The 18,354-nt window shown below is 39.9% G+C and overlaps 1 protein-coding gene across 3 annotated transcripts in view; it reads right to left on the bottom strand.

Annotated features, from left to right (window-relative positions):
* Nucleotides 1-18,354, bottom strand: part of RALA (RAS like proto-oncogene A) — an 84,549-nt gene that overhangs the window by 42,509 nt on the left and 23,686 nt on the right. Inside the window, exon 2 of one of the 3 annotated variants that reach the window (XM_047420682.1) lies at nucleotides 322-18,354. This exon is cut by the window's right edge and continues 15,362 nt beyond it. The exons of the other annotated variants lie outside the window; for them this stretch is intronic. The gene's annotated coding sequence lies outside the window, so the exon portion shown is untranslated. The remainder of the gene's footprint in view (nucleotides 1-321) is intronic. 3 annotated transcript variants of the gene reach the window in all.

Here is an 18,354-nt window from a genome sequence, read left to right as displayed (position 1 = left end):
TAAAATACCAACACCTGAAATTTACCTCTCAGCACACAAATAATCCATTACTGTATAGTGTGTTATACAGTCGACTCTTGGATAACACAGGGATTGGGGTACTGAACCAACTCCCCCAACCCCACTGTGTGCAGTCGAAAATCCAACTTTTGACTCCCCCAAAACTTAACTACAAATGCTTATTTGACTGGAAGCCTTACCAATAACATAATAGTTGATTAACACATATGTTATATGTATTATATACTGTATTCTGACAATAAAGTAAGCTAGAGAAAAGATAATGTTAAGAAAATTTTAAGGAAGGAAAAATACACTTACTAGTCATTAAGTGAAAGTGGATCATCATAAAGGTCTTCATTCTCATCATTTTCATGTTGAGTAGGCTGAAGAGGAGGAGGAAGAGGAAGGATTGGTCCTGCTGTCTCAGGGGTAGCAGAGGAAAAAGAGGTGGAGGAGGTGGAAAGGAGGCAGAAAAAGCAGGCACACTCATTGTAGCTAAAGAAATGCATTGTAATTAGACTTTTTTGCTTTTTCATTTTTCTAAAAATGTTTCTATGTGGTACCAATCCTTCTTCCACCATTTGCTTTAGTTTTAGTGCTTGTATCACGGAAGAGTCTATGTTGTAAACGAAGTCAAAAGCAGTCTTGAATAATAAGAACCCTTCTGCTAGATTATCTAACATCACTTTGTTTTATGGGTTTGCTTCTTCTAGGACTCCTTTCTCATCACCTGGCACCAGTTCAGAAGCATTGATCTCTATCAAGCAGACTTTTGTTCCCCCTCCCACTATTTTTTTTTTTTGGCACGTCCACCAACTCTTTCAAGATTTCCTTGACTGGCTATGTCATAAATCTTGTGAAGTCATACACAACATTCGGACACAGTTTTCTCCAGCAGGAATTTATTGTTTGGGGCTTAATGGCTTTCACAGCTTTTTCTATAACAATGATGGTATCTTCAATGGTGTGAGCCTTCTAGGCTTTCATGATGTTCCTCTATTGGGGTCCTCCATAGTACTGACATCCTTTCCACAGAGTGCTGTGTGTAATGAGCCTTCCAGGTCCTTACAACCCCCAATCTAGAAGCTGAATTCAGAGACGTAGTGTTTGGTGGCAAGTAGACTACTTCAGTGCCTTCAGTTTCGACCTCATAGGGTTTGGGGTGGCCAGGGGCATTATCCAATATCAAAAGAACTTTAAAAACCAATCCTTTACTGGCAAGGTACTTTCTGACTTCAGGGACAAAGCATTGATGAAAGCAATCCAGAAAAAGGGTTCTTGTTGTCCATGCCTTCTTGTTGTACAACAACCTAAAGACTGGCAGCTGGTGTTTATCTCTTCCTTTCAAGACTTGGGGATTAGCAGCTTTACAGATAAGGGCAGCCCTGATCATAAACCCGACTGCACTTGCACAAAATAGTAGTTAGCCTATTCCTTCCTGCCTTAAATCCTGGTGCTTGCTTTTCTTCCCTACCAACAGAAGTTCCTTGTGGCTTTTAAAATTTTTTCCAGAAGGGCAATTTTGTCTGCATTAAAAATCTGTTCAAGCAGATATCCTTTCTCCTCAATGTTTTTCTTAATGGCTTCTGGGAATTCACCTGCTGCCTCTTGGTTGGCAGAAGCTGCTTCTCATGTTATCTTGACATTTAAAAAGCCAAACCTCTTTCTAAAATTATCAAACCATCCCTTGCTGGCATTAAATTCTCCAGCTTTAGATCCTTCACCTTCCTTTTGCTTTAAGTTGTCATATAATGACACTGCTTTTTCTGGAATCACATTGGAGTCTACAGCTATGGCTTTTTTTCGTTAGACCCAGGGACAGATTGGAAAGGTATGCCTTTCTTACAGCAACCCTGCACCCTCATAAAAGCTGAATTTTCAATTTGATAAAAATGTATTTTGCAACAAATGCAAAGCTTTTGTGCCTGCTGCTGTAGCTGCAGTGAAGGCTTCATATATTTTTTCTTTTTTTTTTTTTTACAATGTCCCTTACTCTGGATTCATTCATCTTGAAATGATGGGCAATCACAGCTGAAGACCTCAATCTATGGTACATATCAGGCAATTAAACTTGTTTCTTGTAATGTTGACTTTTCTCTGCTTCTTGGGAGCACTTCCAGCATCACTAGTAACATTTCTTATGGGTCCCACAGTGTTATTTAAAGTTTACAGTGTTGTACAAACACTACATTTACTGGAGAGATGAACTGCTCACACAGAGATAATTAGTGTCACATGGCATTTGAAGTAGGTATTTGCAACATTTGAGCTCAACAATAGCAACAGGAGGTAGTTATAAAATTATTACAGTAGTATCATATGCACTACACTTAATTTTATGCAGTTATAATTTAATACTGAATCTTTACATTGGTTTACATTTCTCTTGACTGCAAATGGCACCACATATAGTTGTGTTTGTATGTGATATGATTTGGTTGTGTCCCCACCCAATCTCATCTTGAATTGTAGCTCCCATGATTCCTACATGTTGTGGGAGGGACTCAGTGGGAGACAACTGAATCATGGGGGCAGTTTCCCCCACACTATTCTTATGGTAGTGAATAAGTCTCACTTAGCTTGGCTCTCTCACTCTCTCATCTGCCACCATGTAAGATGTGCCTTTCACCTTCTGCCATGATTGTGAGGCCTTTCCAGCCACAGGAAACTGTGAGTCTGTTAGACCTCTTTTTCTTTATAAATTACCCAGTCTTGGATGTGTCTTTATCAGCAGCATGAAAACAGACCAATACAGGAAACTGGTACTGGTAGAGTGGGGTGCTGTCGTAAAGATACCCAAAAATGTGGAAGCGACTTTGGAACTGGGTAATGGGCAGAGATTGGAACAGTCTGGAGGGCTCCAAAGAAGACAGGAAAATGTGGGAAAGTCTGGAACTTCCTACAGACTTGTTGAATGGCTTGGACTCAAATGCTGATAATGATATATAGACAATGAAATCCAGGCTGAGGTGGTCTCAGATGGGAGATGAGGAACTTGTTGGGAATTGGAGTAAAGGTGACTCTTGCTATGTTTTAGCAAAGAGACTGAGAATTTTGCCCCTGAACTAGAGATCTGTGGAACTCTAAACTTGAGGGCGATGATTTAGGGCATCTGGTGGAAGAAATTTCTAAGCAGCAAAGCACTGAAAAGGTGACTTTGGTGCTGTTAAAAGCATTCAGTTTTAAAAGGGAAACAGCATAGAACTTTGACAAATTTGCAGCCTGACAATGCAATAGGAAAAAAAAGCCAATTTTCTGAGGAGTAATTCAAGCCGTCTGCAGAAATCTGCGGAGCCAAATGTTAATCACCAAGACAACGGGGGAAAATGTCTCCGGAGCCCAATGTTAATCACCAAGACAATGGGGAAAATGTCTCCAGGGTATGTCAGAGACCTTTGTGGCAGCCTCTCCCATCACAGGCCTGAGGCATAGGAGGAAAAAATGGTTTCAAAAGCTGGGCTAAGGGCCCCCCAACCCATGCTGTGTGTAGCCTAGGGACTTGGTGCCCTACCTCCCAGCCACTCCAGCTATGACTAAAAGGGGCCAGGGTACAGGTCGGGTTGTGGTTTCAGAAGGTGCAAGCCCCAAGCCTTGGCAGCTGCTTCCACGTGTTGTTGAGCCTGTGAGTGCACAGAAGTCAAGAACTGAGGTTTGGGAACCTCTGCCTAAATTTCAGAGGATGTATAGAAACGCCTGGATGTCCAGGCAGGGGCAGGGCCCTCATGGAGAACTTCTGCTAAGGCAGTGCAGAAGGGAAATGTGGGGTTGAAGCCCCCCAACAAAGTCCCCACTGGGACACTGTCTAGTGGAGCTGTGAGAAGAGGGCCACTGTCCTCCAGACCCTAGAATGGTAAATCCACTGACAGCTTGCACCATGAGTCTGGAAAAGCCACAGACACTCAACATCAGTTCATGAAAGCAGCCAGAAGGGAGGCTGTACCTGGCAAAGCCACAGAAGCAGAGCTGCCCAAGACCATGGGAACCCACCTTTTGCATCAGAGTGACCTGGATGTGAGACATGGAGTCAAAGGAGATCATTTTGGATTTGACCACCCTGCTGGATTTTGGACTTGCATAGGGCCTTTGGCCCCTTTGTTTTGGCCAATTTCTCCCATTTGGAATGGGTGCATTTACCCAATGCCTGCACCCTCATTGTATCCAGGAAGTAACTAACTTGCTTTTGATTTTACAGACTCACAGGCTGAAGGGACTTGCCTTGTCTAGATGTGACTGAACTGTGGACTTTTGAGTTAATGCTGAAATGAGTTAAGACTTTGAGGGACTGTTGGGAAGGCATGATTGGTTTTGAAATGTGAGGACATGAGATTTGGGAGGGGCCAGGGGCAGAATGACATGGTTTGGTTGTGTACCCACCCAAATCTCAACTTGAATTGTAGCTCCCATGATTCCCAGGTATTGTGGTAGGGACCCGCTGGGAGATAACTGAATCATGGGGGCAGTTTCCCCCATACTATTCTTTTGGTAGTGAATAAGTCTCATGAGATCTGATTGTTTTATAAGGAGTTTCCCTTTTAGCTCGGCTCTCTCATTCTCTTGTCTGCCACCATGTAAGACATGCCTTTCACCTTCTGCCATGATTGTGAGGTCTCTCCAGCCACAGGAAAAGTTTGAGTCCATTAAACCTCTTTTTCTTTATAAATTACTCACTCTTGGGTATGTCTTTCATGTCAGCAGCATGAAAACAGACTAATATAGTATGCATGTATTTTGATAAATTTTAACTTTTTATAAGATTTGTGTACCTGATAGTAAATAATAAACTAGTATCTGCATATATTTAATGCATTCATGATATACCTATCTTGTTTTCAATATTTCTAGGTTATACAGCTCACCTGCAAGTTTTTTCAAATTGTTGTAAATCTGTAAAAAAATTTCCAATATATTTATTGAAAAAATCTGCGTAAGTAAACTATTGTGGTTCAAACCTGTGTTGTTCAAGGGTCAACTGTATTCCAAAAATGCAATATTAGATTAATAGTAAGCATAAAAATACAATCACATGAATGGGCCCAATAAGAAAATCAATATAATCAATGCAAGTGAAAAGAAAAAGTTATGCAGAGAAGGCAAATTCATTAAAAAAAGAGAGACAGAAAAGAAATAAGCATTGGATAAAATTCAATATTCCTTCTTGATAAGAATTCTTCTGAGTTAAGCACTAGAGACTGCCTCTTATAAGTGTTATGTATTTCTAAAGAAATGGATCACAAGTGGGAGTCATTTTACAATTTTTTTTTTTTTTTGAGATGGAGTCTCTGTTGCCCCAGCTGGAGTTCAGTGGTGTGATCTTGGCTCACTGCAACCTCTGCCTCCTGGGTTCAAGCAATTCTCTTGCCTCAGCCTCCCAACTAGCTGGGACTACAGGTGCACACCACCACACCCGGCTAATTTTTGTACTTTTTAAGTAGAGGTGGGGTTTCACCATATTGGCCAGGCTGGTCTTGAACTCCTGACCTTGTGATCTGCCTGCCTGGGCCTCCCAAAGTGCTGGGATTACAGTCGTGAGCCACTGTGCCTGGCCTTAAATTGTTTTTAATTAAAAAAAAAATTTTTTTAAAGAGGGGGCCATGGGCAGACAGATTCAGACTCCCAGCCACAGGCATCCAAGGGCCAAGAGCTGCACATAGCTCCCTTGGAGAGCATGTTCCTTTTATTACTATTTTTTGAGAGTCATTTTTATACAGGAGCCACACTAAACTTATCTGTATTTTTAAAAAATATACATGCCACTAAAGCAAGTGCAACTCATTTTTAAGGAATGCAAATTAGAGAGAACACGCTAGTGAGAGATAGAAGGAAGCTCAGAACTCTTTTCTGGGCTTTAGTACTCCTTTCTGCAGTGGCCAATGAATTAACAGACAACTTTTGCTCATATTTTTGGGCTTATTTAGTGCCTATTTACCCAGAGATTCCAAAAACAGTGATTAATAATAACACACAAATTACCAGCAGTGAAGGGAGACAGATGCTGTTCAAAGAAACTCCATTTTCTCTTGGCTACGATAAAATTACGAATCATGTAGGGTAAGCTGCATTGTGAGTCATAATTAAGTTAATAACGAACTACAGCCTGCTCACTACTGTTAACTCCTTTTCATGAAAGATAAAAGTGTATCTGAAAAGTAAAAAATCTTAAGTTGAAGTTATACAAAACATAACGTGAAGTTACAAACTAGGGGAAAAAAAAAAGACTTGACAATTCCCTGAAAATCATAAAACATCTTGTAGCACTTATATTTTTCTTCCTAAGAGTACTGAAAAATCTAAATTTAAGATTTGATCATATTTATTTTTTATTTTTGAGACAGAGTCTCTCTCACTTGCCCAGGCTGAGGGGTAGTGGTGCAATGCAATCTCAGCTCACTGCAGCCTTGACCTCCTGGGGTCAAGCAATCCTCCTGCCTCAGACCATTTCATCCCCACCACAGCAGCACCACCATACCTGACTAATTTTTTCGCTGTGTTTTTTTCTAGAGGGGTTCTGCCATTTTGCCCCAGGCTGGTCTGGAACTCCTGGGCTCAAGTGATCTGCCTGCCTCGGCCTCCCAAAGCGCAGGAATTACAGGTATGAGACATCACACCCGGTCCATATCTTAAAATTTTAAATAATAGCAATTTATGAAGTCATAGACTTAAAAGTTTCAGTTCATATCAGACAACTGATTACACCAAAAACATATGCATCTGTATGCAGTCTGCTTGAGGCAGGCTCGGTGGCGCACGCCTGTAGTTCCAGCTACTCAGGAGGCTAGGGTGGGAGGATTGCTTGATCCCAGGATTTTGAGGCCAGCCTGGGCAACGTGGTAAGACTCCATCCCTAAAAAAAATTAAAATAAAAAAACTAAAAATAGCCTAGAGGGAAGATTCGCTTACAGGTGTTTTTAACCAGGAGTATGACTCAGAATCAGGTTTTTAAAAAATGCATTTACTCTGGAACCATCCATGAAGATCCTAATTCACTGGTCAAGGATGCAGACAGTGTGTGTGTATATATATATTTTGTAAAAAACTGCCTAGGTAACTGTAGTTCATATCTCTGGTTAAAAATCATCACTGTGTATATTTATAAAGTGAAACCATATAAAACTGCAAACATTATATATATATATACATACAAAAACAGCAGTTTCATATGGTTTATCTAATAGAAAGTGGCTAGGGGATAAAAATATCCAACAGACTGAACATACTACTTTGCACCAGTGCTCTTCACTAAGTTCTTTATACTAGTTGTTCGAAGTATTGATAACACTAGGCAAGAAATGGGCAAAAATATACCCAGACTTTGTAGGGGGAGGTGAGAGGGTTGGAGAGGCAGCTGAAGGAGAAAAAGGAGCAAAGTCATGGATGCCACAGTGCAAACCACTGTTATGTCTAGGATGAAGACCACTGGGGTTAATGATGGAGTGAGATGGTAATAGAAGACACCAGAGAACATTAATTTAAGACAAGCCCTGCATTTAGCAACTGTCTGTGTGCTCAAGAAAGGGACAACGCTCCTCAGTCATTTCCAACATGTCTTAACATCAAGAATACGGACTAGAATGCATGTGCTATTAATACTCTTAACTCAAAGAAAGAGAAGTAGGAGGAAGAGTACCCTCTCTTTAAGGGGCTTAGTGGGTACAGTCATGGCTCATCAGGAATGAACTAGTATCACACAGGCTGGGCATCAGGCCCATGCACAAGTAAACCTCCAGTCTTTTAAAACTATCATTAAAAGACAATCATATTTAAAATTGAAATACTAAACACATGCACCTACATTCAAACTAGTGGTTGGAAGCAGAATTGTAGCATTTCATTAACATTTTTTTTCTTTTTTTGTGGAGACAGGCTCTTGCTGTGTTGCCCAGGCTGATCTTTAACTCCGGGGCTCAAGCAATCCTCCTGCCCCAGCCTTTCAAAGTGCTGGGATTACAGGTGTCAGCCACCATGTCTGGCTGCATTTCATTATCACTTAAGGCTTACAGGCCTCAATTAATATAGAGGACAGGTTAATGACCAAAAAGATAATGTTTAGAAGGTCCAGACCCCACAGAAAGTAGGGCTTTCCTGGGACCGTCTCCAATACAATATCCTTCAGTATACTAGTCTATTTCTTTCCATTTTACAATTTTTAACAAGTTGCTTTTATGTTTACCTAGAAGTTTCATTGAACAATTTTTAAAAGTAAACATAATGAAATTGAAGAATCACAGAAGGAAGCCTTAAAATAATCCAAACCCTTCATTTTTTATATGAGGAAATAAGGGTTCGATAAGAGTTACATCACTGGCATGAAGTTCCAGAGAGTTGTGGTGGAGTTAAAATGAACTGGGCTGGGCGTGGTGGCTCATACCTGTAATCCCAGCACCTTGGGAGGCCGAGGTGGGCAGATCACCTGAGGTCAGCAGTTCAAGACCAGCCTGGCCAACGTGGTGAAACCCCGTCACTACAAAAATACAAAAACTACCTGAGCATGATGGCAGGTGCCTGTAATCCCAGCTACCCGGGAGACTGAACGGGAGAATCGCTTAAACCCGGGAGGTGGAGGTTGTAGTGAGCCGAGATCACACCACTGCACTCCAGCCTGGGTGACCGAGCAAGACTCCGTCTCAAAAACAAAACAAAACAAAAAAACACAAAAACAAACAAACAAACAAAACTGGAACAGAGCCAGGATGGTATGATCCAAGAGATTCTATATATCCATGCCAGGGTAGTCAGATGTGACATCACTGGAAACTCCCCAATGACTTCTGAAGTGAACATCCCTTACCCTCATCCCTTCACTTTATCCCAAAATCCAGGGTCCAGATCAAGAGATGGGCTGAGCATGTTTGTTTTACTTAGTAACTGGTACCCACTTCCACATTCACCAATCTGTCATGCTGGAGGACTGAGTTTAAATAAATGAGCCAGAGTTCAACTAACTTCCTTCAGGATTAGCCACAATATAACCTAACAGTTTCATGTTATGCCAGGTGTTCAAAAACACGGTCTTGTTGCACAGTAACAGGTGCTGTATGAAGACAAAGAAACTTGTTACAATAGACTCTTAACAACAAGGCATTCTGGTTGCCAGATAATTGGCTGCAGCTCATAAATTACCTTTTTTTCCTTTCCTGGGTTCTTGTTCCTATCAAAAATCAGTAGTAGCCTCATAGAGTCATAACTAATCCCAAATTAGTGAGTCTTAACTCTAAAGGATTGAAAGAAAGACAAATAAAATGCTAATGCTCTTACATGCTATAGGATTTTAAATTGAGAAATAGCAAACATGAATAGATGGGACCTGTATTTGCTTAATTCCAGTAGACTAAATACTCTGGCCTAAATAGAGTTGTCAATCTCATAAACCCAAGAAATACTCAGAAACAAGAACATTCAAGTAACTCTGAATTTTGAATTGCTAGTTACAGTTCACTTGACAGGATGCAACTATAATGTACAAGGCTTGGGAATAAATTTAAGATATCTGAATAGGGGTTTTGACTCTGCCACTACAAAAAAACTATATACTCACTAAAACACCAAAGGGACTGATGCAAATCCCCTTAGATAAATACTGCCTGCCTTTTTATGTAAGTTCAGCTGATCACAATAAAAAGTGAAATTAGTTTAACTCAGCTTACTTAAAATTCTTCAGAGACTCCACATTGCTCATAGGTGAAAATCTAAATTCCTTAATTCTGCCCCTGCGCATTTCTTTTTTTACTCCTCTCCCCTTAATCCTTATATGCCTTGATCCTGATGTATTCTGTAATTTCTATTAATAATATAATTGTGGAAAATTTGGGGAAGTTTGGGTTAAATTATAATAAGCAAAGTGAAACAATGATACCAAGTAAGGTTAACAGACTCTGTAGGGACTGGCATGACATAACTCAAAGAAACAGAAGATATACTTGAAGTGAGTTTACAACAATCAATTATTTTCCAAATGCTATATTCAGATCTACATACCTTTTTAAGAAGAACAATAAACTGGAGTTACAGTATGAAAAAAAATTAAGAAATGGGAAAAGAAAAACCTTGGTTATCAAAAGCTTATCTAGCCACTATGTTATTCTATATAAATTTTAGAATTATATTTGGAGCAGCTTTATTGAGGTACAACATACGACAAACTGCACATATTTAAGCCTGTTCAACTGTAATCCCTCCCTTTCCTTTCCCTCCATCTCCCCTCCATACACTGATCTGCTTTCTGTAAATATAGATTAGTTAGTACTTTCTTCAGTTTCACATAAAAGGAATTATGCAACATGTACTCTTTTATCTGGCTTCTTTCAGTAAGCATAATTTTGACATTTATCCCTGTTGCTTGTATCTATAGCTCATTCCCTTTTATTGCTGAGTAGTATTCCATGGTATGGATATCTTACAATTTGTTTATTCATTCACCTGTTGATGGACATTTGAGTGGTTTGTAGTTTTCAGCATCTGCTGACAAAGGTGCAAAAGGCAATTCAGTAAAGAAAGAATCACTTTTTAAACAATGATGCTAGAACAATTAGATGCAAAAATACAATTGCAAAAAAAGAATTTAGAGGCTGGGCGTGGTGGCTCATGACTATAATCCCAGCATTTTGGGAGGCCAAAGCAGGAGGATTGCTTGAGCTCAGGAGTTCAAGACCAGCCTGGGCAACATAGTGAGATACAGTCTCTACAAAAACTAAATTAGCTGGGTATAGTGTGGCACACGCCTATAGCCCCAGCTGCTTGGGAGGTTGAGGTGGGAGAACTGCTTGGGCCTGGGAAAGCGAGTCTGCAGTGAGCCATGATCACACCACTGCACTCCAGCCTTGGTGACAGAGCAAGATCCTCTCTCAAACAAACAAACAAACAAACAAACAAAAATTTAGATTCACATATACACCATATACAAAAAAATTAACTCAAAATGGATTGTTTCTAAATGTAAAACCTAAAGCCACAAAAGTTCTAGAAGAAAGCATAGAGTTAGGCATGTGACCTTGGGTTAGGCATTCGATGATTTCCTAGATACAATGTCAAATGCAAAATCTATGAAATTGATAAGTTGGACTGCATCAAAATAAAAAACTTCCAGTCTTTGAAGGTTAAGAAAATGAAAGGATAAGTCACAGACTGGGAGATAATTTTTACAATTTAAAACTAAAATTACTGAGGAGAAGACAAAAAGAGGCAGATTTGGCTCACTAGCAAGATCTTTCCAATTACTTATTACTGTAAAAACTGGAATAAACTGTCTGTAAGCCCCATCAAAGAATTCAAACAGATAAAGAAAGAGGATTGGAGACTGAGCTGATTAAATTCAAATACCTTCTTATTCTATAAATACATATTTTAGCCATTTCTAAGACGACCAATTTAATGCATATTTGATAACATATTATTCAATGGTGAAAGAAGCAATTATGTTCTTGATTCATACAATTCAATAAAAATGTTTTCAATTAAAACATTTTTACTGATAGGGTGATGTGACTGTGTACATAAAGGTAAAGAAAGTTGTTCAAATAGAACCCCCTGTGCAGTGTCCTCTGCCTTCCAATTGCTCTCCAGCCTTCAATGGGCTTGTTTCATTGTTCCCTAGTATTCTGGATATAACTTCTATCAGTGCTACTCATCAAATTAATTATTGGGAGCTGAGAGCTATCTTTCTCAGTTCTGTAATCTCAGCATCTAGCACAGTACATGAAAATAACTAGTACATATTCAGATGGAAAAAAACCCTAAACTCTAGAAAATGATTTTGGAGAACAGTTCATCAGTATTGGCAAAATTCTGAGACATCCACCCAGGAGGAATAGGTACTCTGCTTAATGCTGTTTTATCACCTGGAAGTACAATGTACTACAAACAAATTAAATGCTGGTCTCAGAAGCTATAAGCTACTACAAGACTAATGTTCAAAAAGGTCCTAAAAAATAAAATGGAATTGTGAGGGAGAATTCTGCTGAGCTGAGGTGACACTTCATATAATTATTCTAAATAAATAAATTCTAAATAAATTATTCTAAATAAATTATTACAACTAGGTAGGAGGATTATAGGAGCTCAGGAGTTTGAGACCAGCCTGGGCAACATAGCAAGGTCTCATCTCTACTAAAAATGTTTTAAAAATTGGCCAGGCATGGTGGAACACATCTGTGGTCTCAGTTCTCAGAAGGCTGAGGTAGGAGAATGGCTTAAGCCAGGTAGTCAAAGCTGCAGTGAGACATGACTGTGCCACTGTACTTCAGCCTGGGTGACAGAGCAAGACCCTATCTCAAAAAACAATAATAATAGGCCGGGCGTGGTGGCTCATGCCTGTAATCTCAGCACTTTGGGAGGCTGATGCAGGCGGATGATAAGGTCAGGAGTTTGAGACCAGCCTGACCAACATGGTGAAACCCCATCTCTACTAAAAATACAAAAATTAGCCAGGCATGGTGGCGCATGCCTGTAATCCCAGCTACTCAGGAGGCTGAGGCAGGAGAATCGCTTTAACCTGGGAGGTGGAGGTTGCAGTGAGCCGAGATCGCACCACTGCACTCCAGCCTGGGCAACAGAGTGAGACTCCGTCTCAAAAAATAATAATAATAATAATAATAGTTTGAGACCAGCCTGGCTAACAATAATAATAGTTTGAGACAAGCCTGGCTAACATGGCAAAACCACATCTCTACTAAAAATACAAAAATTAGCCATGTATGGTGGTGCATGCCTGTAATCCCAGCTACTTGAGAAGCTGAGGTGGGAGAATTGCTCGCACCTGGGAGGCAGACGTGGCAGTGAGTCAAGATCACACCACTGCACTCCAGCCTGGGCAACAGACCATCTCAAATAATAATAATAATAATAAAATTAATTAATTCAACTACATCAAGATTTGACTACAAAGAAATTCAAATCCTCTGATAGGCATTTACTAAAATCACTCTAGAAAGTAGCAAACCTCTGTAAAACTTTTCTTGCTTCTTACCTTATACAGGTATTATGAAGTTTAGGAGTCTGAGGAATATTAGAATTGCTTTATTCTTATATCCACTCCAACAGGTTTATGTTACTCCTATGATTACAGCAACTGAACAATTTTTGCAAATTAACTGAGGATTTGAATATCCTAGTCATCCTTGAGAACCCAATAAAACCAACGGACCTTCATCCCTAGAAGCCCTACTATGGTCCTGTTTAAAAACTAATGCAAATATCATAAAACTTATACCTACAATTATTACTTTTGGTGAATTTGTATGTGAATTATTAGTAAGAATTGATATGGGGTGGGGAATGGCTATTACAGTTTGAATGTTTGTCCCAACTCATGTTGAAATTTAACTGCCATTGCCACAGTATTAAGATGTGGGACCTTGAAGAAGTGAGTAAACCATAAGAGGCCACCCTCATGGGTGGGATTGGTGCCCTTATAAAAGGACAGGTTCATCACTTTTCACCTTGCCCTTTCACCCTCTCTTGCTCTGCTGCCATAGGAGGACACCACATTCCTCCTCCCTAGAGGATGCAGCAATAAGGGACCATCTTGGAACCAGAGACTGAATCTGCTGATACTTTGATCTTAAACCTCCCAGCCTCCAGAATATGAGAAGGAAATTTCTATTCTTTACTAATTACCCAGTCTGTGGTACTTTGCTCTAGCAGCAGGAAATGGACTGAGACAATGGCTATCAGTGTCATGATTATCCATAGAAAATTAGCGATAAGAATATTTATTGTAACATTATTCATCATAGTAAAAAATTATGGATAGCCATGAACCATAAAACAGTCGTTTAAAAATGACACTGAGTACTGAATAACACTGAAAAACGTTCAGAAAATAAAAGCTGCTTACAAACAGCATTTATATATTAACTTTATTTTGAACAGATATGTATTACTACAAACATGAAAAAATTAGATAGCAAAATAAAATTTCACTAAGAGTAATCTGAACAAGGGAATATGAAAAATGTTTAACTTCCAGGGCTTTCTGCCTAACTGTATTCCAGTTTTCTACCACAAATGTTACTTTTGTAATCAGGAAAAAAAAAAAGCTTAGTGAAAAAGGAAAAATATTTAAAATATTTGTGGTTAGGCTCCAATATAATCAAACTGTCACAAATAGCTGCTTCAGCAATTGTAGAAACACTGGTCACATGACACGGAGTTTTGCAGACACTCAAGTGGATCAGTGTGGTGAGGAGCCTCCAAGATGGCTTCCAACAATCCCCACACATCCTAGTATTCACGCCCTTATGTGGGCTTCTATGTTGTACCAGGGTCGGTCTGTGTGACAAATATACAGATGTTCCTTAACATACAATAGAGTTACATCCCAACAAAACCATTGTTAGGTTGAAAACATCATAAGTCGAAAATGCATTTAATACACCTAGCCTACCCTGAACATGCTCAGAAGACTTATATTAGCTTACAGTTGGGCAAAATCAACTAACACAAAGCCTATTTTATAATAAAGTGTTTGTTGACTATCTCATATAATTTATTGAATACTGGGTTGAAAGTGAAAAACATAATGATGGTACACCATTGTAAAGCTGAAAAATCCTAAGTCGGGGACTGTCTACGATACAGAAGTAAAGGCATGTCACTTCCAAAGATTAGGATATAAAAGGCTGAGGCTTCTGTCCTGGGCACTCTGTCTCATTACTTTCTACAGGGGAAGCCACATTATGACTAGTCCAAAGGAGAGGCTGATGTGGCAAGGAACTGAAGCCTCCTGCCAATAGCCATGAATAAGATACGAAGCCGACTCTCTAGACCCAGCCAAGTCTCAGAAGTCTGCAGCCCTGGCTGACACTTTGATTGCAGCCTCATGGGAGATTCTAAGTCAGAACCATCCAGCTAAGCTGCTTTCACATTGCTGACCCACAGGAACTGTGGTAATAAATGTTTGTTGTTTTAAGCAGCTAAGATATTGGTAATTTATAACACAGCCCCAATAGATAACTATATAGTTAGCTTACAGTTTGAGACTAGGGCCCCTTCCAAGAACCCGCCTTAGGAAAAAGCACCGAGACTGCAAGTCTAAATTCAAAGTTCTGATTTTCTATGTGGTTTGACCAAAACCAGAAAAGGGGTCTTACTACCTTCTTCAAAATGTTCAATTCCCTAGATTTGATACCTATTTCTTCCCCTCTCCCACTCATATTTCATCCTATCTTTTCTTCAGTTACTGTAAATCTAAGGGTTGGCAAACTCTTTCTAGTAAATATTTTAGGCTTCTCTGCAGCACTACTCAACTCTGCTGCCATAGTTTGAAAGCAGTCACAGACAATACCTAAATAAATGCACAAGGTTATGTTCCAACAAAACTTTATTTTAAAAACAGGCAGCAGGCTGAATTTGGCTCCAGAGCTGGGGTTTGCCAACCCCTGCTATAAATGAAACTGATCAAGATCCTAGTAAGCCCGATGCTTCCACTCATGCCGATCTCATTCCCTCTAGCCAACTCAACAGAGACTGCTCCAGAAATTCTCCCCCTTTCATCCATGAATTTGTTCCTCTCTACTGGATTCAAATGTATTTTTTTCTATCTTAAAAATAAAACAAAAACTCTCAACCCTACTTCATTTCTCAAACTCACTGTCTCCAATTCTGTTCCTTTTATTCTCTCCCAAGCCTACTCATATAAAGCTTTTGTTAAGGTCACCTCCACACTGCTAAATCCAACAGTCAATTTTCAATCTTCGTTATACCTCACTTATCAGTAGCAGCTGACCCAGATCATCACTCCCTCTTTCTTAAAACATTTTCTTTATTTGGTTTCCAGGATACCACAATCACCTGGTTTTCCAAAGTCATTATGGCTTCTCTTTTTCCATCCATCTCTTTTTGGGCCTCTTTTTTCTATCTACATTCATTCCTTTCATGAGTTCACTTAGGCTGTTTGAGTTGCTGTAACAAAACATGTAAGCCTGGGTAATTTATAAAGAACAGAAATTTATTTCTCATAGTTCTGTGGCCTAGAAGTCCAAATTGAAGCAGGTTCGGTGTCTGGTGAGGACCATCATCTGCTCCAAGATGGCACCCTGTTGCTGCATCCTCCAGCGGGGACGAATGCTGTGTCCTCACTAGGAAAAGGAGCAGAAGAGCAAAAAAGGGCCTAGCTAGTTCCTTTAGCCTTTTTATAAAGTTGCTGATCTCATTCATGAGGACTCTGCGCTCGTGAACTAATCACCTCCTATTGGCACCATCTCTTAATATTGTTGAATTAAGGATTAAGTTTCAACATGAATTTTGGAGGCAACACAAACATTCAAACCATAATACTCAGTATAGCATCTATATGGGGATGACATCCAAATTTATATCTCTGGATTTCATCTCTCCCCTGAACATCAGATTCACATGTAACTGCCTACTTAACACATAAAACTAGTTGTCTAATAGGCAACTTAACTGTCCAAATTCCAAACTGTCCAAAACTCCATGCCTGGTTTAACCTACTCCAACCTGCTTCTCTCTTAGCTTTCCCTCTATCAGTAAATGGCAACCTCATTCTTTAGGTTGCTCACACTGAAACTCCTGGAGTCATTCTTTTATTTTTATTGAGACAGGGTCTCGCTCTGTCGCACAGGCTGGAGTGCAACGGCATGATCACAGCTCAGCACAGCCTTGATCTCCTGGGCTCAAGCGATCCTCCCACCTCAAGCCTCCTGAGTAGCTGGGATTACAGGCGCATGCCACCATGCCCAGCTAATTTTTGTATTTTTTGTAGATACTGGATTTTGACTTATTGCCTCTACTGTCTCAAACTCTTGGGCTCAAGTGATCCGCTTGCCTCGACCTCCCAAAGTGCTGGGATTACAGGGGTGAGCCATTGCACCTGGCCCCTTGGAGTCATTCTTAACTCTTCTTTCACAGCCCACAACTGATTGGCTGGCAAATCTGTCACCTCTACTCTCAAAATACAGCCATTCCTAAGACTTCTCATATCACTGGGAATAAAAGCCTTATGAGGTCTAAGAGATCCTAAATTACTTTGCCATTCCTTCTACTGGAAGATTAGCACATGGCTCACTCCCTCACATCCTTTAGGACTCCTCTCTGCAGAACATAAGATCCATGAGGGCAGAATTTTGCCCATTGTATTTACTGTTGTATCTCCACTACCTTAGATAGTGCCTGACACATGAGGCCCTTAATATCTGCTGGACGAAAGAGTTAACTGTGAAAAGAGACAAAAAAAAAAAAGCTATTAAGTTGATGGAAAACTTACTGGCAAAACAAACTGTATATATTAACTCCTTTTTCATTTTCACACTGTTTTTAAACATAAAGCTCTGGATTACACATGATAGCAGAAAGAGGACTAGAGTATAAGTCAATGGGCCTAGGTTCTACCACCTAATAGGCTCTAAAGATTTCGGTTTTCTGCCACTACAAACCTCTGAAGACCATGGTTTTCAGATATGTAAAATGAGAGGACTGAACCCAGGCCACTGGGCCCCTGTAAAACCTACAAAATTCCAAAATTTTGTATATGACTTTAGAAGCTTACATGATGACAGCCTCTATAAAGGTGTGTTAATAGGGAAGTATAAATCTGACTTCCTGAGAAAAATGTTATACCATATAGAAGTGGCATACCAGCTGATGCAGTTGTTGAAACAAAATGAAACAGACACTTACTTAAGGGCTTAAAATAGATCTAAGACTTTATGACAGATACTTGAAAAGTTATCTCTGTTTTCAATAATAACACTGAAAAGCAGGAAGAAATTTTCATTCTTTCTTTAAACAACAAAAATTTATTTCTTACAGTTCTGGAGTCTGGGAAGTCCAAGATCAAGGTGCCAGCACATTCGGTGTCTGGTGAGGACCCATTTCCTCCTAGATGGCTGTGTTCTCACTGTAACCTCACATGGTGGAAGGAGCAAGGGATCTCTTTGGGGTCTTTTTCAATAAGGACACCAATTCCATTCATGAGGTCTCTTCCCTCATGACCTAATTACCTCCTAAAGGCCCCAACTCCTAATACCATCACCTTGCGGTCTAGGATTTCAACATACAAATTTGGGGGGAACATAAACATTCAGTCCAGTGCAAACATGTCCGGGATCACACAACAATAAGCTGGAATTCAAATGCAGGACTATGAAACTCCAGACCTACATTGTTTCAAATGTTTCCAACAATACCTCAAGTTTTAGTTACAGGATACACAATACACCTAGGATAGACACAGAACCTTTTGATCAGAAACAATCACAGAGTAAGCCTCATGAGCGGAGAAGCTATGTGGATTTCCACTAGAAACAATCTGCAGCCAGGCGTGGTGGCTCACGCCTGTAATCCTAGCACTTTGGGAGATCAAGGGGGGTGTACCACTTGAGCGCAGGAGTTCGAGAC

The sequence above is a fragment of the Homo sapiens genome, chromosome 7 (assembly GCF_000001405.40).
Source record: "Homo sapiens chromosome 7, GRCh38.p14 Primary Assembly".
NCBI classification, from domain to species: Eukaryota; Metazoa; Chordata; class Mammalia; order Primates; family Hominidae; genus Homo; species Homo sapiens.
The sequence above is the reverse complement of the archived record's forward strand: the minus strand, read 5'-3'. Positions and strand labels throughout refer to the sequence as shown.